This window comes from Homo sapiens, chromosome 2 (assembly GCF_000001405.40).
Source record: "Homo sapiens chromosome 2, GRCh38.p14 Primary Assembly".
NCBI lineage: Eukaryota > Metazoa > Chordata > Mammalia > Primates > Hominidae > Homo > Homo sapiens.
In genome coordinates, this window is record NC_000002.12 from 23,942,068 (window position 1) to 23,965,411 (window position 23,344).

Genomic DNA, 23,344 nt, shown 5'->3' on the forward strand with positions numbered 1-23,344 from the left:
GGACTCCATCTCAAAAAGTAAAATAAAATAAATAATCACACAAATAAATGCCAATAAGCAAAGACAGAGGCTAAAATAAAGAATGTAAGTTGTTTGTGAGAGAAGGTAACAGGGGGACTTATCCAAGCTGGGAAAGTTTTCCTAGGAAAGTAATCTTTGAGCTTAGATATTAGGGATAAATAGGAATTAGGGGAAGATGACTCCCAAAGGAGAGAAGAAAGGCTCAGGCAAAGGAAATAGATGGCGCGGAGGCTAGGGAAGATGGTCATTTCAGGAACTTCAGCAGTTGTTGTGTGGAAAGCAAAAGGGTGCTGTGATAAAGTAGGTTAGGGCCAAAGAGATGATGCAGGGCTTTTTTTTTTTTTTTTTTTTTTGTTACAGAGTCTCGCTCTGTCACCCAGGCTGGAGTGCAGCGGCACGATCTTGGCTCACTGCAATCTCTTCCGGATTCAAGCGATTCTCCTGCCTCAGCCTCCCGAGTAGCTGGGACTATAATGCGCGCCACCATGCCCGGCTAATTTTTGTATTTTTAGTAGAGATGGAGTTTCACTGTGTTGGTCAGACTGGTCTCAAAATCCTGACCTCTGGTGATCCACCCACCTCGGCCTCCCAGAGTGCTGGGATTACAGACGTGAGCCACCGTGCCCGGCTGATGCAGGGCCTTTTAAGCAATGTTAAGGATTTGGGACCAGCTTTTTCTGTTTCTTTTTCTTTTTTAAACTTTTATAGAAAACTTTTCAAACCACTCAAATGTAGGGAGAGAACAGTACAATGAACTCTCCCGTAATATTACCCAAATGACTTGGATGTTATTTTAACAGTAATAGGAAGTCGTTTAAAGGTTTACCTCCGTCAGAAAAAAAAAAAGTTTAAAGCAAGGTAAGTCTTACTACAAACAACTTTTTTTTTTTTTTGAGACGGAGTCTCGCACAGGCAGGAGTGCTGTGGTGCAATCTCCGCTCACTGCAACCTCTGCCTCCCGGGTTCAAACGATTCTCCTGCCTCAGCCTCCCGAGTAGCTGGGATTACAGGCATGCGCCACCATGCCTGGCTAGTTTTTTGTATTTTTGGTAGAGACGGGGTTTCACTGTGTTGGCCAGGCTGGTCTCGAACTCCAGACCTTCTGATCTGCCCACTTCAGCCTCCCAAAGTGCTGGAATTACAGGCGTGAGCCACCGTGCCTGGCCAACTTTTTATTTCAAAAAGTCGTCCTGACTGCTGTGTAGAAACTGGATTGGATGGGGACAAGAATGGAAATGAGGAGACCACCTAGAGTTGATGGTGGTTGGGACTAGAATTGTGGCAATGAAGGCATTGAAAATTTAAGAGTACCTAACTGATCTCTTCTCATGTTAATAATTTTATATTCACACCTATTGGAGGAATCATGGAAGGTTTTCTAAAGGAGATTGTATGTATGTATGTTTTTATTTATTTGAGATAGAGTTTTGTTCTTGCCACCCAGGTTGGAGTGCAATGACCCAATCTTGGCTCATGGCAACTTCTGCCTCCTGGGTTCAAGCAATTCTCCTGCCTCAGCCTCCCAAGTAGTTGGGATTACAGGTATGCACCACCACACCCAGCTAATTTTGTATTTTTAGTAGAGAGAGACAGGGTTTCACCATGTCGGTCAGGCTGGTCTCGAACTCCTGACCTCAGGTAATCTGCCCGTCTTGGCCTCCCAAAGTGCTGGGATTACAGGCTTAAACCACCGTGCCCAGCTAAAGGAGATTATATTTAAAATGAGCTTTGCATTTCCGTCCAGACCAGAACCCAAGATGGCTGCACTCTTGCTGAGACATGTTGGAGTGGTCATTGCCTCCGAGCGCACTTTAGCCCTCAGCTTTGTATCAGAAATGCTGTTCCTTTGGGAATCATGGCCAAAGAAGAGATGGAATGGTTCTGGAATAAGAACACAGGTTCAAACCGTCCCGTATCTCCCCACGTCACTATCTAGAGTTGGTGTCTTCCTATGTCGATGTCCATCTGCCACCATGGCTCTGGTATTGCTTTGAGCACAGGGGTCTCTTTTTGGCATGTCAGCCCTGTTACTCCCAGGAAAGTTTAAGTCTTACTTGGAACTCATTGGTCCCTGTGTCTGGGGCCAGCACTGATGGACACAACTAAGTTTGCACTCGTCTTCCCTCTCATGTATCATACCTGGAATGGGATCCAACACTTGATGTGGGACCTAGGAAAAGGCCTGAAGATTCCCCAGCTATACCAGTCTGGAGTGGTTGTCCTGGTTCTTACTGTGTTATTTGTAGGGCTGGCAGCTGTGTGAAGAACTGAGGTGACCAGCATCATCTTCCTACACATTATTGTATTCACCCATCTTTCAGTTTGTCAGTCTTATCTCCACCCTGGGAAAAGTTCTCCTTATTTGTTTAGATTCTTTTGCGCTTTCAGATCCCCTTGGAACAGTACAGTACCTTGTAGACCGTAATGGTGGAAAAGGGTCTAGTTTTCCCCTTGTTTCTAAAGATGGGGTGGCTGCAAAAACTCCCCTTTTTTTGCCCACAGCTTGCCTAATCTGGGCCTAGAAGCAGTTATTCTCTCTCCATATTGGGCTTTGATTTGTGCTGAAGGTCAGCTTTTGGCTCCTCCTTCCTGGGATATTGGAAACAATGCCAGCTCTGTGGCTTCTGCCCTGGGGACTGGGGGTGAGGCTTTGGGCACCACTGCCTGTGAGTTGCTGGCTTAAAGGACAGTTCTGTTCATTGGTGAGAGCCAGGCCATTAACACCTACGCAGTGTTACTGAAAGAAGAGAGGTGGGAGTGGAGCAGAATTAGTCTGTCCCAGCTAGAGAGAGCTAAAGAGGACTAGTTAGTTCTTGGAGCAGCTGCTTTGAGGAGAAAATATATAGCTTTTGACCCAAGAGGAAGATCCAGAAAATTATTGAATATATTAAAGTTTTTTTTCTTGCATTTCTAGAAAAGCCTCTTAATTTTTTGCTTTCTCATCCAAGTCATGTACCACTTTTTTCTGAAACTGAATTAAAATACTTATTAAAAAAAAGGGGGGAGGGCCCTTTGTGACATAAGATAACATTTCAGTATGGAGCCCTGGAATGAGAATGTCCTGGAATGGGAATGTCTTGGTCAGCCCTGGAATGACTCAATAAGTAACCTTGCCAGTCTCTGCCTAAGTGTCACCTTTCCCATAGGATTTTCTCATTTAAATTACTGTTGTCACTACCACTTTGGTCCTTGGAGTATATAAGTAGCCCATTAAAAATTTCTAGGAAAGGACAAAAATATATTTTCTTCATTACTATGATTACAGCTAAAATAAGCTGAAACTTTCCAAAAGATTTCATTTTCTATCACTTAGTATATAGTAAACCAGAATTCACAAAATATACAAATGAACTGTCTTTTAAGTATTTGGTTCTGATGCTATCATAGTTGGTTGCTTTTGGAGGCTTGGGGGCCTAATCACATTCCATAGAAGATCTAAGTAAAAGGAACCCAACATGGAAATGTGATCCATTGGTTTCTTTTCCCTCGTGTTTAATACCTGGAATGGCCTTATCCTTAAAAAGAAACGTAAGCTTCTATATAAAGGTAGCATGTCTGATTGTATAATACCTTGATACAAATCCATAATCTAAAAAAAAGTGGCCAGTTTTTTGTTTGTTTTTGCATTTTTTCTCCTCAAATTCCTTTTGACCATGAAATATATGTTTTAAAAAATAAAATTGTAATGTGCAATTTTTAATTTAATTTTTAATTATGCATTTAATTCTTTTTTTTTCTTCTCTTTTTTTTTTTTTGAGACAGGGTCTCACTCTGTCACCCAGGCTGAACTGGAGTACAGTGGCATGATCTCAGCTCACTGCAACCTCTGCCTCCCAGGTTCAAGCAATTCTCGTGCCTCAGCCTCCCGAGTAGCTGGGGATTATAGGTGTGTGTTCCCACGTCCGGCTAGTTTTTGTATTTTTAGTAGGCACAGGGTTTTGCCAGGTTGGCCAGCCTGGTCTCAAACTCCTGGCCTCAAGTGATTTGCCCCCTTGGGCCTCCCAAAGTGTGGGGATTACAGGCATGAGCCACTGTGTCCAGCCACATTTAATTCTTTTGTTTATTTATTTATTTATTTATTTTTAGACAGAGTTTCACTTCGACATCCAGGCTGGAGTGCAGTAGTGCAATCTCAGTTCACTGCAACCTTTGCTTCCGGGTTCAAGCGATTCTCCCGCCTCAGCCTCCTGAGTAGCTTGGGACTACAGGCGTGTGCCATCATGCCTGGCTAATTTTTGTTTTTTGTTGTTTTTTTTTTTTACTCACTCTGTCACCAGGCTGGAGTGCAGTGGCGTGATCTCGGCTCACTGCAATGTCCGCCTCCTGGGTTCAAGCGATTCCCCTGCCTCAGCCTGCTGAGTAGCTGGGACTATAGGCGCACGCCACTATACCTGGCTATTTTTTTTTGTATTTTAATAGAGACGGGGTTTCACCATGTTGGCCAGGATGGTCTCCATCTCCTGACCTCGTGATCCACCCGCCTCAGCCTCCTAAAGAGCTGAGATTACGGGCATGAGCCACCATGCCTGGCCAATTTTTGTATTTTTAGTAGAGATGGAGTTTCACCATATTGGCCAGGCTGGTCTTGAACTTCTGACCTCAAGTGGTCCACCTGCCTCAGCCTCCCAAAGTGCTGGGATTCAGGCATGAGCCACCGCACCCAGCCCTATTTAATTCTTAAGATGTAGTTTTTATATTCAGATTCTTATACACTTATTTTAAATTTTTGTTTATAGATTTTAAAAAAGAAATCAGACAGTCTCCCAAGTCAGAAGAGTCTCAGACTCCCAATTTATTAATTTTTTTTTTTTTTTTTTTTGAGACAGGGTCTCACTCTTACCCAGGCTGAAATTCAGTGGCACAATTATAGTTCACTGCAGCCTTAAACTCCTGGACTCAAGCAACTCTCCTGCCTCAGCATCCTGACTAGCCAGGACTACAGACGTTTGCCATGATGCCTGGCTAATGTTCTTATTTGTAGTAGTGACAGGGTCTCACTGTGTTGCCTAGGCTGATCTTGAACTCCTAGCATCAAGAGATTCCCACCACCTGAGCCTCCTAAAGTGCTGAGATTACAGGGGTGCACCACTGTGCCTGGCCTAACGTAAGCATTTTAAAATACCACATTCTTAGTAGTCCAAATCTATTTTGACTGGCCTTTCCTGTTAGTGGACATGTTCCATAAAACTCAGTCTTCTCTGTCTCCTGATTGATTTCATCACTGCACTTTTTGGGATAGTATTTGAGAAGATGTTCGGTAAACTGTGATATGCTATATCAATGTAAGATGATGGTGATAGTTGGAAGTAGACCGAAGAAAAATGAAGGCAGTTCTTTTCATCTGTTCATTCTTGTGCCAACTTTATGCTGATAACTTGGATATTTGTCAGATGGCTTTTTTTATTCTCTGCAGTATAGTACATGACTTAGGTTCATTCATGTCATATGACTGTGATACATTTGTAGCAGCTCACTCAATTGATATAAATAAATTTTAGTTGGTTCATTTGCATGTTACTAAATTTATGATAGAAAATGACTGCGGTAATGGTGACTTTGTGGTGTCTCCATGTTAAAATTAATTTTTACATCATAATTCTATGCCATGCTTACAATTAGTAATTCAGTTTGTTTTTTCCTTATTAGTCCATAAAATTGTGCTACTAGAAACTGTCATACTGATACTGACACTTTTGTCATTAGTTTTAAATCAGTGGCTTGCACACATTGGTGGGTGGTTCAATAAGTATATAAAACATTTTTTTTTAAGTTTTTGTTTTTTTGAGATGGAGTTTTGCTCTTGTTGCCCAGGCTGGAGTGCAATGGCGGGGGCTCAGCTCCCTGCAACCTCCTCCTCCCAGCTTCAAGTGATTCTCCTGCCTCAGCCTCCCAAGTAGCTGAGATTACAGGTGCCCACCACCATGCACGGCTAATTTTTGTGTTTTTAATAGAGACAGGGTTTCATCATGTTGGCCAGGCTGGTCTAGAACTCCTGGCCTGAGGTGATCCGCCCGCCTCAGCCTCCCAGAGTGCTGGGATTACAGGCGTGAGCAACTGTGCCGGGCTTTTAAAAAGTTTAATTCGTGAAATCAAAAGTAAAATTTCATAATCATGTCAAAATTAGGACTTTTTAGATTAAGTCTGAAGATGTTTCTTTTTCTTTTTCTTTTTTTTTTTTTTTTGAGACAGAGTCTCACTCTTGTTGCCCAGGCTAGAGTGCAGTGGCGTGATCTCGGCTCACTGCAACCTCCACCTCCCAATTCAAGTGATTCTCCTGCCTCAGCCTCCCAAGTAGCTGGGATTACAGGCATGCGCCACCATGCCTGGCTAATTTTTGTGTTTTTAGTAGAGACAGGGTTTCACCATGTTAGCCAGGCTGGTCTCAAACTCCTGATCTCAGGCGATCTGCCCACCTCGGCCTCCCAAAGTGCTGGGATTACAGGCGTGAGCTTGAAGATGTTTCTTACCAATCTCTATAACAGATTATGGTGGGGGATGAGGAAAGAAAAAGGAGTATAACACTGTTGTATTCTTAGTATCTTCAGTCCTCAGAACAACCTGAGGGGGATAATTATGTCCATGCTATAAGTTAGGCAGCTGGGACTCAGAGAAGCTAAATAACATATACAAGGTCACCTAGCTCAAAAGTGATGTAGCCAGTATTCCAGTAAAACTCAGTTTGAATTTGAGGTCTATTCTATCTTCATTCTCTTTTGCTGTCATAAAACAAGTAAAAGCAATTTGTCAGTACCTTATAACTGTAAAATGATGGAAAAAAGTATTTGTAATTTCCTAGAGAACAATAACCTATTACTGGAAACTCAGTGAAATCCTTTAAGTAAGACTTCTCTTGTAGCTTTTTTTTTTTTTTTTTGAGACAGAATCTCTGTCACCCAGACTAGAGCACATTGGCGTGATCTCCCCTCACTGCAACCTCCATCTCCCTGGTTCAAGTGATTCTCCTGCCTCAGCCTCCCAAGTAGCTGGGACTACAGGCGTGTGCTACCAAGCCTGGCTATTTTTTTTTCTTTTTTTTTTTTTTTTTGTATTTTTAGTAGAGACGGAGTTTCACCATGTTGGCCAGGCTGGTCTTGAACTCCTAACCTCAGGTGATCCGCCTGCCTTGGCCTCCCAAAGTGCCGGGATTACAGGCATGAGCCACCACACCCAACCCTCTTGTAGCTTTTAGAAGAAATTTATTTGCCAGGCATGGTGGCTCACGCTTGTAATCCCAGCACTGTGGGAGGCCGAGGTGGGCGGATCATGAGGTCAGGAGATGGAGACCATCCTGGCTAACACATCGAAACCCTGTCTCTACTAAAAATACAAAACATTAGCCGGGCGTGGTGGCACATGCCTGTAGTCCCCAGCTACTCGGGAGGCTGAGGCAGCAGAATCACTTGAACCCAGGAGGTAGAGGTTGCACTCCAGCCTGGGCAACAGAGCAAGACTTCATCTCAAAAATAAATAAATAAATAATAAAAATAAAAATAAGTTTATTTATAGCCGGGCGTGGTTGCCCATGCCTATAATTCTAGCACTTTGGGAGGCCAAGGCAGGAGGATCACCTGAGGTCAGTAGTTTGAGACCAGCCTGGCCAATGTGGTGAAACGCTGTCTCTACTAAAAATACAAAAATTAGCCAGGCATGGTGGCACATGCCAGTAATCCCAGCTACTTGGGAGGCTGAGGCAGAAGAATCACTTCAACCTAGGAGGCGGAGGTTGCAGTAAGCTGAGACCTCACCACTGCACTCTAGCCTGGGCAACAGAGCAAGACTCTGTCTCAAAAAAAAAAAAATTATTTGTATAAATGTGTGGGGTACAAGTATAATTTTGTTACATGGATATATTGTACAGTAGTAAAGTCAGAGCTTTTAATGTATCCATCACTGGAATAATTTCTCATCATCCCCCCACCCCCACCCCCACCCCCACCCCAAGGATCGCTACTCTTTGCTTTGCACTTGCTGCACACTGTGAAGGATACAGGAAATGTGTAAGTCATGGTACTTATCCTCAGCGATGTCAGATCTGGTAAAGAGAGTGAAAAGAAACAGTAATAAGCAATATCACACAATATGATTTAAATGCCAAAAATCTAAATGCTTAGGAGGAGACTATTACTAAGGGTCTAATATTTCATCTTTATGGTGGAAATGGATCTTGAGCTGGGACTTAAAGGATAGTTAGGATTTGAATGCCTAGGACGATGATTACAATGTGAACAAAGTAGTAGAATGAACATGTTATGCTTTTGAGATAATGAAGACCAGATCTAAACTATGGAAATATTTTATTTTATTTTTATTTTATTATTATTATTACTGTTTTTGAGACGGATTCTCGCTCTGTTGTCCACGCTGGAGTGCAGTGGCATGATCTTGGCTCACTGCGACCTCCGACTCCTGGGTTCCAGCAATTCTCCCACCTCAGCCTCTTGGTAGCTGGGATTACAGGCGCCCTCCACCATGCCTGGCTAATTTTTTGTATTTTTAGTAGAGATGGGGTTTCACCATGTTGGCTGGGTTGGTCTCGAACTCCTGACCTCAAGTGATCCGCCCACCTCGGTCTTCCAGTGTGCTCGGATTACAGGCATGAGCCTCTGCGCCTGGCCTATTTTATTTTATTTTTTGAGATGAAGTTTTGCTCTTACGCCCAGGCTGGAGTGAAGTGGCACGATCTTGGCTCACTGCAACCTCCACCCGCCGGGTTCAAGCGATTCTCCTGCCTCAGACTCCCGAGTAGTTGGGATTACAGGTATGCGCCACCACACCCATGCGTGGTTCGCCGTGTTGGCCAGGCTGGTCTCGAACTCCTGACCTCAGGTGATCCACCCACATTGGCCTCCCAAAGTGCTAGGATTACAGGCATGAGCCACCATGCCTGGCCTATTCATTATTTTTTAGTTGACAATAATTTTATATATTTATGGGATACATTGTGGTGTTTCAGTACTTATGTACATTATGGAATGGTCAAATCAGGCTAATTACCATGCCCCTCAGCTCAAATACTTAACATTTCTTTGTTGTGAGAACATTTAAAACCCATTCCTTCTGCTATTTTGAAGCATACAGTATTATTAACTGTAGGAGATTATTTTGAATTAGTTGAAAATAATGTTGGAGAACTGCCAAGTGAAAAACAAACAGCCCCACCAGATTATAATGTCCAAAAGAGCTGGGATCTTTATCTATTTTGTTCAATATGTATCCCAAGCACCTAGAATCATTCATGTCTGATATATAGTAGGTGCTGAATAAGTATACACTTTAGTTATTTTTAACAACTTTCCATCATTATAATTGATATACAGTAAGATGGATATATATATATATATATATATATATATATATATATATATATATATATATAGTTTTGTTTCATTTTGAGACAGTTTTGCTCTTGTCACCCAGGCTGAAGTGCAGTGGTGCGAGCTTGGCTCACCAGAACCTCTGCCTCCAAGGTTCAAGCGATTCTCCTGCCTCAGCCTCTGGAGTACTTGGGATTACAGGCACCTGCCACCATGCCCAGCTAATTTTTGTGTTTTTAGTAGAGACGGGGTTTCACCATGTTGACCAAGCTGGTCTCGAACTCCTGGCCTGAAGTGATCCCCCTGCCTGGGCCTCCCAGAGAGCTGGGATTACAGGCATGAGTCACTGTACCATTTTATTTCTTAAAAAAGAAACAAATGAGTCAAGCTGATCTGAATGGTCAGGGTGGGTGTTTATATTTTTCTCTTTCCTTTGTGTATGTTTGAAATATGTAGACATTTTTAAAGTGAAGCAATTAATTTTAGGAATACTACGTTTGAAGGAAGAAATCTTATGAGAAAACGTTAATGGGCATAGAGTTATGATTTCCTGAAGTTTTTTTCCTTTTTTTTTTTTTTTTTGAGACAGAGTCTCACTCTGTCACCCAGGCTGGAGTGCAGTGGTATGATCTCGGCTCACTGCAACTTCTGCCTCCTGTGTTCAAGCAATTCTCCTGCTTCAGCCTCTCAAGTAGCTGGGACTACAAGCGCTCGCCATCACACCCGCCTAATTTTTGTATTTTTAGTAGAGATGGGGTTTGACCATGTTGGCCAGGCTGGTCTCAAACTCCTGACCTCAGGTGATCCACCTGCCTTGGCCGCCCAAAGTGCTGGGATTACAGGCGTGAGCCATCACACCCGGCTGCTGGGTTTTGTTTTTTAAGACGGTCTCCCTCTGTTGCCCAAGCTGGAATGTAGTAGAATGATCACAGGTCGCTGCAGCCTCAACTTCCTGGGCTCAAGCGATCATCCCATCTCAGCCTCCGGAGTAGCTGGGACTACAGGCATATGCCACCGTGCCGGGCTAATTTATTTTTTATTTTTATTTATTTATTTTTTTGAGACAGAGTCTTTCCCTGTCGCCCAGGCTGGAGTGCAATGGCGCGATGTCAGCTCACCACAATCTCCACCTCCCGGGTTCAAGCAGTTCTTCTGCCTCAGCCTCCTGAGTAGCTGGGATTACAGGTGCGTGCTACCACGCCTGGCTAATTTTTTGTGTCTTTAGTAGAGACGGGTTTCACCATGTTGGCCAGGCTAGTCTTGAACTCCTGACCTTGTGATCTACCTGCCTTGGCCTCCCAAAGTGTTGGTATTACAGGTGTGAGCTACCACACACAGCCAAATTTTTGTATTTTTTGTAGAGATGGGGTCTGGCTATGTTGCCCAGCCTGGTTTGGCACTTCTGGCCTCAAACAGTCCTCCCACTTTGACATCCCAAAGTGCTGAGATTACAGGTGTGAGCCACCATGCCTGGCCTGTTTATTTAATTTTAAAATTGTGAAAAAGTCATTGATTTTTTTTTCAAGCCATGAATCAACCAAATGTCATATGAAGCTCTTAGTTGTTTTTTTTTTTTTTAACAAAGTAATCTTTATTGTGGTCATAATACATCTTTTCATAGTCATTAGTTTAAATGTGGATACACATTGCTTTTCACAGCTTCAAATTTATGATTTGGAGAGTAAGAGGCAAGTTATATTTCATAAGGATTCAAATCTTTGAAATTACTGCTACTCTTAGATTATTAAGAGTAATTTTCTGATAGAGCAAAAGTACTGCCTTTTAAAAAAACAAATGAAATTGCGGTATAGCACTCTAGGTGTATATATTTTTAGGGTAGAGTTTTTCATCCCAAATTTTATTATGAAACTTTTCAAGTGTGTATAAAAATGGAGAGAACAGTAAACTCTCATATCTACTCATTACCCATCTTGATGATTATCAAGTTGTGGCCATTTTGATTTTAATTATATTCCATCCACTCCCCAATCCACTTGATTGTTTGAAGCAAGTTCCAGTTATAGTATTCATCAGTCAATATTTCAGTATGTATCTAAAGCAGTGACTTAAAAAACTTATAGCTACAGTCCCATCGTCACACCCTAAAAATTAATCATCGCTCCAAAATAACATCAGATATCCCGTCACTATTCAGATGTTACGGATTCTTTCATAACTTTTTTTTACGGTTGATTTGTTTAAATCAAAATCGAAATATGGTCCATACATTGTAATACATTGATATATTTCTGAAATATTTAAAGAATCTACTGTCATCACATTTTTCTCCCTCATAATATATGTGTTGAAGAAAATGGATCATTTTTCCTAAAGAATTTCCCACATTCTGGACTTTGTTGATTGCATTCTTGTGATATCATCTGATTATGCTCCTTTGTGCCCTGTATTTCCTGTAATCTGGTAGTTAGATCTAGAGGCTTGAATGGATTCAGATTCACATTTTTGGCAAGAATAGATGATGGTACAAGCTTTTACACTGAGGCATGTTTTTTTGTCTGGTTGTCTCTGTTTGTGATGTTAGCAGCCATTGATATCATTGCCTAGATTCATTATTGCATTAGCAGTTGCAAATTGGAGACATTATAATTTTTTTTTCTTTTTGTTTTAAGACTGAGTTTCACTCTTGTTGCCCAGGCTGGAGTGCAATGGCGTGGTCTCAGCCCACTGCAACCTCCGCCTCCCGGGTACAAGTGATTCTCCTGCCTCAGCCTCCCGAGTAGCTGGGACTACCCATTAAGTAACTGGTCCTTCCCCATTCATCTCAATCCCTAGTAACCTCTGTCCTACTTTCTGTCTTTATCAATCACCTATTCTAGATATTTTATATATTTGGAATCATAAAGTGTTTGTCCTTTTGTATCTGACTTTTTTATTCATGTAGCATCATGTTTTCAGCATTCATCCATGTTATAGTATGTATCAGAATTTCACTCCTTTTATGGCTGAATAATATTCCATTGCTTATATACACCTCATTTTGTTTATCCATACATCTGTTGATGGATACTTGGGTTGTTTCCACCTTTTGGCTATTGTGAATATTGCTGTAGCCACCAAAATGTTTTCCTCAGCAGCTGCAGTATTTCACATTCCCACCAGTAGCGTACCAGGGTTTCAATTTCGTTACAACCTTGCCAACGCTTGTTTTCTGCTTTTTGTTTTCTTTTTAATAGCCATCCTAGTGGGTGTGAAGTAGTATCTCATTATGGTTTTGATTTGTGTTTCCTAGGAACTATTGATTTTGAGCATCTTTTCACGTGCTTATTGGCCATTTTTATTTCTTCTTTGGAAAAATGTCTATTCACACAAGTCCTTTGCCCATTTTTGCATATCTTTTTTTTTTTTTTTTTAAGAGACAGATTCTTGCTCTGTTGCCCAGGCTGGAGTGTGGTGACATGATCATGGCTCACTGCAGCCTCAAATTCCCTGGCTCAAGTGATCTCCTGCCTCTCAGCCTCCCAAGTAGCTGGGAATACAGGAGTGTGCCACTGTGCCCAGCTTGCCTACCTTTTTTTTTTTTTTTTTTTTGAAACAGAGTCTAGCTTTGTCGCCAGACTGGAGTGCAGTGGTGCAATTTCGGCTCACTGCAACCTCCACCTCCCGGGTTCAGGCCATTCTCCTGCCTCAGCCTCCTGAGTAGCTGGGATTACAGGCATGCACCGCCACGCCCAGCTAATTTTTGTATTTTTAGTAGAGACGGGGTTTCACCTTGCTGTCCAGAATGGTCTCGATCTCCTGACCTTGTGATTCGCCCACCTCGGCCTCCCAAAGTGCTGGGATTACAGGCGTGAGCCATCGCACCCGGCTGCTTGCCTACCATTTTTAAGTTGCCATTTTCTTGATTCAGCATTCCCTTGGTTGCTGTAACCCTTCTTTGACTATTTTCTAGAGTTCTGACAAAGTTGGTTCTAAGAGTTTCTACTTGTCTTTTGATATTTCTGTAGAGGGGACAGGTGCCTGGACCTACCTGTTCTTCCATTTTGCTGATGTCACCCTCAAGAGTTTAATTTTCCTTTTTCTTTTTCTCTCACTCTCTTTCAATAAGGAGTTTAAACATTTTAAATCTTGTATATATAATCCTGTGTCACTTAATGAAGGGCATACATTCTGGAAAGTGTCATTAGGCAGTTTTGTCATTGTGTGAATATCATACAATGTATTTACACAAACCTGATGTTATAGCCAACTATACACACAGGCTGTATGGTGTAGCATATTGCTCCTAGGCTACAAACCTGTACAGCATGTTACTGTACCAAATACTGTAGGCAGTTATGATATAATGGTAACTATTTGCGTATCCAAACATATCTCAACATAGAAAAGACACAGTAAAAATATACTGTTATAATCTTATGGGACCACCATTGTATATGCAGTCCGTCATTGACCAAAATGTTGTTACACAGTGTATTACTGTATTTGGAATGTATTTTGGTTATGATAATGCCACATTACTGTGAGTTTATTAAAGGGTTCATCTCAGGCTGGAGTGCTGCGACGCAGTCTCGGCTTACTTCAACCTCTGCCTCCCAGGTTCAAGTAATTCTCATGCCTCAGCCTCCTGAGTAGTGGAGATTACAGATATGTGCCACTATGCCGAGCTGATTTTTGTATTTTTAGTAGAGATGGGTTTTGCCATGTTGGACAGGCTGGTCTCGAACTCCTGGCCTGAAGTGATCCAACTGCCTCGGCCTCCCAAAGTGCTGGGAGTACAGGCATGAGCCACCATACCTGACCTCATCTTTTTTATTAAAAAAAAAAAAATCTGATCGTATAGACTCACATATTTTTGTTTTATTCAATGGAGCAGAATCCACTAGTATTGTTATTTTTTTAGATGTTCAGTTTACCAGATTTACCGAATGGGAGCCCCTTCAGAGTGCCTTTGGGGTCACTTTTTCTTTTCATTTTTTCTTTTTAATTTATTATTTGTTTCTTTTTTGAGACAGTCTCACTAACTCTGTCACCAGAGTTGGAGTGCAGTGGCGCAGTCTCAGCTCACTGCAAGCTCCGCCTCCAGGGTTGAAGTGATTCTCCTGCCTCAGCCTACCTAGTAGCTGGGATTACTTGCGCCGACCACCATGCCTGGCTAATTTTTGTATTTTTAGTGGAGATGGGGTTTCACCATGTTGGCCAGGCTGGTCTTGAACTCCTGACCTCAGGTGATCCACCCTCCTTGGCCTCCCAAAGTGCTGGGATTACAGACGTGAGCCACCACACCTGGCCCTGTCCTTATCATTCTTTGGGTACCTTTTCTGGGGTAAAAGTTTCCATGTTCATCTTTCTCTGCCCCAGCCCTGAAGTTATCCTTTTCTTGAAGGAGCAATTTAAGAAAAACATTCTCCTTAAACAGTAGAATATTTAGAAACCAACATATAGGCACTTGATGTGCTCATTGCTTCTGGTATGTCATTGCTTCCAGGCCTTCTCAGCAGACCAGTGGTTTGGACTACACCTGTCACTTGGTGTCCCTGGAAGATTGGTTCCAAGACCCCCATAGATACCAAAATCTGCTGATGCTCAAGTCCCTTGCATAAAATAGCATACTATTTGCAGATAACGTATGCACATCCTCCTGTATACTATAAATCACCTTTAAATTACTTATAATACCTGATACTATGTAAATAGTTGTTATGTAATTTTAAAATTTGTATTATTTTTTGTTGTATTGTTTTTCTTATTTTTTTTTCCTTGAATATTTTTGATCCATGATTGGTTGAGCCTGCAGGTGCATAGGGCTGTTGCCCAGGCTGGAGCACAGTGGCATGATGATGACCCTCTGCATCCTTGAACTCCTGGGCTCAAGTTATCCTCCCACCTCAGCACCTCAACTTCCTGAGTAGCTGGAACCACAGAGGTGCACCATAATGCCTGGCTAACTTTTTTTTTCTGAGATGAAGTCTTGTTCTGTTGCCCAGGCTGGAGTGCAGTGGTGTGATTTCAGCACACTGCAACCTCTGCCTCCCAGGTTCAAGTGATTCTCCTGCCTCAGCCTTCTGAATAACTGGGACTACAGGTGCGTACCACCACACTTGGCTAATTTTTATATTTTTTAGAAGAGACAGGGTTTCACCATGTTGACCAGGCTGGTCTTGAACTCCTGACCTCAAGTGATCCACCCATGGCTGGGCACTGTGGCTCACACCTGTAATCCCAGGACTTTGAGAGGCCGAGGCAGGTGGATCACCTGAGGTTGGGAGTTCGAGACCAGCCTGACCAACATGGAGAAACCTCGACTCTACTAAAAATAAAAAATTAGCCGGGTGTGGTGGCGCACGTCCGTAATCCCAGCTACTCGGGAGGCTGAGGCAGGAGAATCTCTGGAACCCGGGAGATGGAGGTTGTGGTGAGCCGAGATTGTGCCATTGCACTCCAGCCTGGGCAACAAGAGCGGTACTCCATCTCAAAAATAAATAAATAAATAAATAATAAATGTGATCCACCCACCTTGGCCTCCCAAAGTGCTGGGATTACAGGCATGAGCCACTGCGCCTAGCCATTTTTTGTAGAGTCAGTCTCACTATTTTACCCAGACTGGTCTTGAATTCCTTGGCTTCAGCAATCCTCCTACCTTTTCCTCCCAAAGTGCTGGAATTACAGGTGTGAGGCACATGCCCAGTTCATTTGTTAAGTCAAATGGTATATTATACTTTTTTTCATAATAAGTTTTAAGAAGTCTTTCTTTTGTCAGATTATCAGACTTAAAATGTATTTTCTATCATTGCTTTATTTTGATGATGAAAATGACAGCTTTGAGTTTGCTCACTTTTTCTTTAGACACTTTTAAGTAATACTTTAGGACTACATGGTAACTTACATATTAAGCTTTTTACTTACTTTCTTTTTACTTACTTTCTTTGTACTTTTACAGTAAGGCGAAAGAGAATGAAAGACGTAGATAACCTCAAAAGTATAAAAGAAGAATGGTAAGTTAATTCAAACTGAATTGCTTTGTTAATGCCTTTGTTAATATCGTCCTGTATTTTTATTACATTTCACTTGCAGAGATAGTAGAGTACGTTTTAATTATGTATGACTACTTCATTGTCATCTACTATGTTGAAGTAATTTTTTTACCATAGCTGCATTAAACAAATTTTATTGAAGTTACTGAATGTTTTTTATTAATTTTAAAAAGTTAAATTATCTGTGTTCATACATTACTTCTGTTATTTGATAAATTAAATAACTATTTACCTCATTAGCCTCTTGTGATAGATACACTATTTTAGTGTCATAGTGGGAATATGGCTTTGGAGTCAGATAAACCTAGGCTTGAATCCCGTCTCTGCCTTCTATTATCTCTCTGGCCTTTGGGCAGCTTAGGTAAATTCTTTGAGCCTCAATATCTCATCTATAAAATAAGGATACAAATACCTACCTATCTGAAAGGTTTTATGTGTGTATCTTTTTTTCTTTTTCTTTTGTTTTTACAGACAGGGTGTCTGTTGCCCAAGCTAGAGTGCAGTGGTGCAATCATAGCTTGTTGGAGCCTTGAATTCCTGGGGACAAGTGATCATCTCTCCTTGGCTTCCTGAGTAGCTGGGACTACAGGCTTACACCACTGCCTCCAGTTAAATTTTTAAATTTTTTTGTAGCAATGAGGTCTCACTATATTGCTCAGAACTCCTGGCTTCAAGTGATCCTCCTGCCACAGCCTCTCAAAATGCTAGGATTATAAGCGTGAGCCACCATGCTTGGCCTATTATTTATTTTTTAACTCAGGTATTTATAGGCTTATATAAATATTTGATGCTAATTATATAATTGTGAGGTTGTTGGCCGGGCACAGTGGCTCACGCCTGTAATCTCAGCACTTTGGGAGGCCGAGGTAGGCGGATCACCTGAGGTCAGGAGTTCGAGACCAGCCTGGACAACATGATGAAATCCCATCTCTACTAAAAATACAAAAATTAGCCAGGTGTGGTGGCAGGTACCAGTAGTCCCAGCTACTCAGGAGGCTGAGGCAGGAGAATTGCTTGAACCTTAGAGGTGGAGGTTTCAGTGAGCCAAGACCGCACCACTGCACTCCAGCCTGGGTGACAGAGCAAGACTCCTCCGTCTCAAAAAATAAATAAAAATAAATAAATAAATGTGAAGTTGTGTCAGAGGTCTCCAAGACCACCCCTAGTTTTGATGATTTACTAGAAGAATTTGTAAGATTTAGAATGTAGTTATACTCATGATTATAATTTATTACAGTGAAGGGTTGCAAAGCAAAATCAGCAAAGGGAAAAAGTACATAGGGAAAACCAGGCACAAGCTTCCAGGGGTCCTCACCCAGTGGAGTCACCCAGGATGTACTTAATTCCCCCAGTAACAAGTTGTGACAAATTCATGTGAAGTATTGTCTACCAGGAAAGCTCATTGGAGATGAGCCTAGAGTTTTTAGTGGGAGCTAGTTACATCCTAAAATTTCAGGCTATCATAAGGAAAGCAGGAGTTCAATATAAATCACATTGTTTATATAAACTGTACATTGAGCCATCCTTATAAATTTAGGGTGATGGGAACCTTCTAGAAATCCAAGTTTGCAGGTGCGGCCGGGCGCAGTGCCTCATGCCTGTAATCCCAGCACTTTGGAAGGCCGAGGCGGGTGGATCACGAAGTCAGGAGATCGAGACCATCCTGGCTAACACGGTGAAACCCCGTCTCTACTAAAAATACAAAAAAAAAATTAACTGGGCATGGTGGCGGGTGCCTGTAGTCCCAGCTACTCGGGAGGCCGAGGCAGGAGAATGGCGTGAACCCAGGAGGTGGAGCTTGCAGTGAGTCGAGATCGCGCCACTGCACTCCAGCCTGGGCGACAGAGTGAGACTCTGTCTCAAAAAAAAACAAAAAAACAGAAATCCAAGTTTGCAGATGCCAGCCCAGGACCAGCCTTGTAAGCAAGTCTTTCAAAAGATAGCAATCAGATCTGCTATATTAACTCATTTCTGCGCAGTAATAAATTGAATGACTGATTTGAAATGGTAAAATTAACTTAGAACAGGCCTGTTTTAAAATGGCTTTATTGAAATATAATTCACATACCATATAATTCATTCACTTAAAATATATAGTTCAGTAGTTTTTAGTACATTCACAGATTTTTGCAGTCATTAACATAGTCAATTTTCGCGCATTTATATTACCCCAAAGAGAAACCCCATATCCATTAGCAATCCCACCCATTGTCCTATGCCTTGCCCCTGACAACCATGAAACTGCTTTCTTTTTTTGAGACGGAATCTCACTCTGTTGCCCAGGCTGGAGTGCAACGGCGTGATCTTGGCTCACTGCAACCTCCACCTCCCAGGTTCAAGCAATTCCCCTGCCTCAGCCTCCCGAGTGGCTGAGATTACAGGCACGCACCACCATGCTCAGCTAAGTTTTTTGTATTTTTAGTGCAGATGGGGTTTCACCATATTGGCCAGTCTGGTCTCAAACTCCTAACCTCAGGTGATCTGCCCGCCTTGGCCTCCCAGAGTTCTGGGATTACAGGTGTGAGCCACCATGCCTGGCCGTCTGCTTTCTATTTCTACAGATTTACCTGTTCTGGACATTTCATATAAATGCAGTTATACAATATGTGGTCTTTTGTGACTGACTGCTTTCACTTAGCATAATGTTTTCAAGGTTCACCTATGTTGTAGAGCATGTATCAGTATGTACTTTGAATTTTTTTTGTTTTTGTTTTTTTTGAGACGGAGTTTTGCTCTTGTCACCCAGGCTGGGGTGCAGTGGTACAATCTTGGCTCACTGCAACCTCTGCCTCCCAGGTTCAAGTAATTCTCCTGCCTCAGCCTCCCAAGTAGCTGGGACTACAGGTGTGTGCCACCACGCCTGGCTAATTTTTGTATTTTTAGTAGAGATGGGGTTTCACCATGTTGTCCAGGCTGATCTCGAACTCCTGACCTCAGGTGATCCGCCCACCTCGGCCTCCCAAAGTGCTAGGATTACAGACGTGAGCCACCGTGCCTGGCCTGTACTTTGAATTTTAAGTAAAATATTTGGTAAAGTACACAAAAATATTGGTGATAGTTTATAATTTTCTTTGTAACAAAAGTGGATTTGTAAAAATGTTTTGTTAAAAACAATGGTCCAGGGAAAAATGCAAAGAAAACTGCCTTTTTTTTTTTTTTTTTTTTTTTTGGTGAGATGAAGTCTTGCTCTGTCACCAGGCTGGAGCGCAATGGCATGATCTCGGCTCATTGCAACCTCCGCCTCCCAGGTTCAAGTGATTCTCCTGCCTCAGCCTCCCGAGTAGCTGGGACTGTAGGTGCACACCACCACGCCCAGCTAATTTTTGTATTTTTAGTAGAGATGGGGTTTCACCATGTTGGCCAGGATGGTCTCTATCTCTTGACGTCATGATCTGCCTGCCTCGGACTCCCATAGTGCTGGGATTACAGGTGTGAACCACCGCACCCGGCCTTTTTTTTTTATTTTTTGAGACAGAGTCTTGCTCTGTCACCCAGGCTGGAGTGCAGTGGCGTGATCTCAGCTCACTGCAACCTCCGCCTCCCAGGTTCAAGCAATTCTCCTGCCTCAGCCTCCCGAGTAGTTGGGAGTACAGGTGCCCACCACCATGCCTGGCTAATTTTTGTACTTTTAGTAGAGATGGGGTTTCACCATGTTGTCCAGGCTGGTCTTGAACTCCTGACCTCAGGCAATCTGCCCACCTCAGCCTCCCAAAAGTGCTAGGATTACAGGCATGAGCCACCGCGCCCAGCCAAAAACTGCTTTTCTAAGTGTATCAGTTGTTCAAAGGTTATAAATGGTGAAGTTCTATGTTTACCATATGTGCTATCTAAGCGTCCACAGATGCAAATCTTTCACCCATATGAACAACAGCTAATTCATAACCTTATTTATGCAGAACACAGTAGACAATGAGAAAGCAAACAAAAGAGGCTGTTCTGCTGCCCAAATAGTTGTTTCAGAGTCCCTTACCTGAAGCAAAGGAAACAACAGAATGAAAAGGCAGCCTATGGAATGGGAAAAAAATATTTGGAAACAATATATTTTATAAGGGATTAGTTACCAAAATATATATCAGATACTCCTACAACTCAGTAGCAAAAAACTAATAATCATAGCAACTGTATTAGTCCATTTTCATGCTGCTGATAAAGACATACCCGAGACTGGGCAATTTACAAAAGTAAGAGGTTTTTTTTTCCTTTTTTTATTCTTTTTTTTTTTTTTTTTGAGACGGAGTTTCGCTCTTGTTGCCCAGGCTGGAGTGCAATGATGCAGTCTCGGCTCATGGCAGCCTCAGCCTCCTGGGTTCAAGCCATTCTCCTGCCTCAGCCTCCCTAGTAGCTGGAATTACAGGCATGTGCAACCACACCTGGCTAGTTTTGTATTTTTTAGTAGAGACAGGGTTTCTCCATGTTGGTCAGGCAGGCTGGTCTCCAACTCCCGACCTCAGGTGATCCACCCGCCTTGGCATCCCAAAGTGCTGGGATTACAGGCATGAGCCACCGCGTCCGGCAAGGAAGAGGTTTAATTGGACTTACAGTTCCGCATGGCTGGGGAAGCCTCACAATCATGGCAGAAGGCAAGGAAGAGCAAGTTACATCTTAACATGGATGGCAGCAGGCAAAGAGAGAGAGTTTGTGCAGGGGAACTCCTCTTTTTAAAACTATCACGTCTCGTGAGACTTATTTATTATCATGAGAACAGCATGGGAAAGACTTGCTCCCATGATTCAATTACCTCCCACCAGGTCCCTCCCACAACACATGGGAATTCAGGATGAGATTTGGGTGGGGACACAGCCAAACCGTATCAATAACCCAATTAAAAAATGGAAGAAAACGCCGGGCGCAGTGGCTCACACCCATAATCCCAGCACTTTGGGAGGCTGAGGCGGGCGGATCACGAGGTCAGAAGTTCGAGACCAGCCTGACCAACATGGTGAAACCCTGTCTCTACTAAAAATACAAAAAGTAGCCAGGCGTGGTGGCACACACTTGTAATCCCAACTACTCGGGGGGCTGAGGCAAGATTGCACCACTGCACTCCAGCCTGAGTGAAAGAGTGAGACAGTGTCTCAAAAAAAAAAAAAAAGAGAAAAGTGGAAAAAAAGTCTGAATAGACATTTCTCCGAATAAGGCATACAACAGGTATATGTTCAGTGTCACTAGTAATCATCAGGGAAATGCAAATCAAAATAAGAGTAATCACCTCACACCTGTCAGGATGGCTGTTGTCAAAAAACAAAAGAGCTAGTCCTGGTGAGGATATGGAGAAAAGAGAACCCTTGAACACTGTTGATGGGGATGCAAAATGGTGTAGCTACTATGGAAAACAGTATGGCGATTCCTCAAAAAATTAAAAATAGAATTGCCACAGAATGGATTGCTGAATAGATCCAGCAATCCCACCTCTGGATATTATCCAAAGGAATTGGAATCAGAATCTTGAAGAGACTGGGTGCCGTGGCTCACATCTGTAATGCCAACATTTTGGGAACCCAAGGCAGGAGGATCCCTTGAGGGAAGGAGTTTGAAACCAGCCTTGTTGACATAGTGAGAACTCATCTCTACAAAAGAAAAATTGAAAAACTAGCCAGCTTGGTGACACATACCTGTAGACCCAGCTACTGAGGAGGCTGAGACAGGAGGATCGTTTGAGCCTAGGAGTTCTAGGCTGCAGTGAACCATGATCGTGTCACTGCGCTTCTCCATTCTGGGTGACAGAGCCAGATCCTGTCTCAAAAAAAAAAAAAAAATCTCGAAAAGAGATGAATGGGTAAAGAATATATAATACATACCCAAAATGGAATATTATCCAATCCTTTTTTTTTTTGAGACAGAGTTTCGCTCTTCTTGCCCAGGCTGGAGTGCAATGGCACAATCTCGGCTCACCACAACCTCTGCCTCCCAGGTTCAAGTGATTCTCCTGCCTCAGCCTCCTGAGTAGCTGGCATTACAATCGTGTGCCACCACACCCGGCTAATTTTGTATTTTTAGTAGGGACAGGGTTTCACCATGTTGGTCAGGCTGGTCTCAAACTCCTGACCTCAAGTGATCCGCCTGCCTCGACCTCCCAAAGTACTGGGATTACAGGCGTGAGCCACCACGCTCGGCTATTCAGTCTTGAGAAAGAAGGAAATTCTGCAGTATGCAACAACATAGATGAACCTTGAGGATATAATGGTGGTTGCCAGGGGCTAGGGGAAAGTGAAAATGAGGAGTTGCTAATCAGTGGGCATAAGGTTTCAGTTAAGCAAGATGAATAGGTCCTAGAGATATGCTGAACAACATAGTACCTATAGTTAACCACACTTTATTGTTCACTTAAAAATATGTTAAGAGGTTAGGTCTCATTTTAAGTGTTCTTACCATGATAAAATAAAAAAAACTTTTTAGAAAATCCCTCACCTGAAGCTTCTGTACTTTTATTATTATAGGAACTCCTGACATTTTAAGATGTGTTTACTGGCTGAGCGCAGTGGCTCACGTCTGTAATCCTAGCACTGTGGGAGGCCAAAGCAGGCACATTTCTTGACCCCAGGAGTTCAAGACTGGCCTGGGGCATATGGTAAACCCTCATGCCTACAAAATACAAAAATTAGCTATTGGAGAGGCTGGAACTATAGGCATGTGCCACCATACCTGGCTAATTTTTCGTATTTTTTTTATAGAGATGGGGTCTCCCTATGTTGCCCAGGCTGGTCTCAAACTCCTGGGCTCAAGGGGTCCTCCCACCTCCGCCTCCTAAAGTGCTGGGATAATAGGCATGAGCCACTGCACCTGGCCTCCTTTCCAACCTGTATACATTTTACTTCCTTTCCTTATCTTACTGGATTAGCTCGGACTTCCAGTACAACACTGATGAGGAATGGTGAGACGCAGCATCCTTGTCTTGTTCCTGATCTTAGTGGGAAAGCATCTAGTTTCTCCTGATTAAATATGATGTTAGATGTAGGCTTTTGCAGACATTGTTTACCAAGTTGAGAAAGTTCCCTTTCTCTTCCTAGTTGGTGGGGG

At 42.6% G+C, this 23,344-nt stretch overlaps 1 protein-coding gene and 1 pseudogene across 10 annotated transcripts in view; both read left to right on the forward strand.

Annotated features, from left to right (window-relative positions):
- UBXN2A (UBX domain protein 2A) overlaps positions 1-23,344 on the forward strand; it is a 77,632-nt gene that overhangs the window by 14,790 nt on the left and 39,498 nt on the right. For 8 of the 10 annotated variants that reach the window (XM_005264168.6, XM_011532633.4, XM_005264166.6 and 5 more), the window contains one exon: positions 16,234-16,288. In XM_005264168.6, coding sequence (XP_005264225.1) covers positions 16,248-16,288 — 41 coding nt within the window. In that variant the 5' untranslated portion in view covers positions 16,234-16,247. Of the gene's footprint in view, positions 1-10,398; positions 10,521-15,083; positions 15,379-16,233; positions 16,289-23,344 lie in introns of those variants that run through there. The other 2 variants (XM_005264167.6, XM_047443580.1) reach the window with 2 other exon arrangements.
- On the forward strand, positions 1,756-3,011 carry SDHCP3 (SDHC pseudogene 3; annotated as a pseudogene).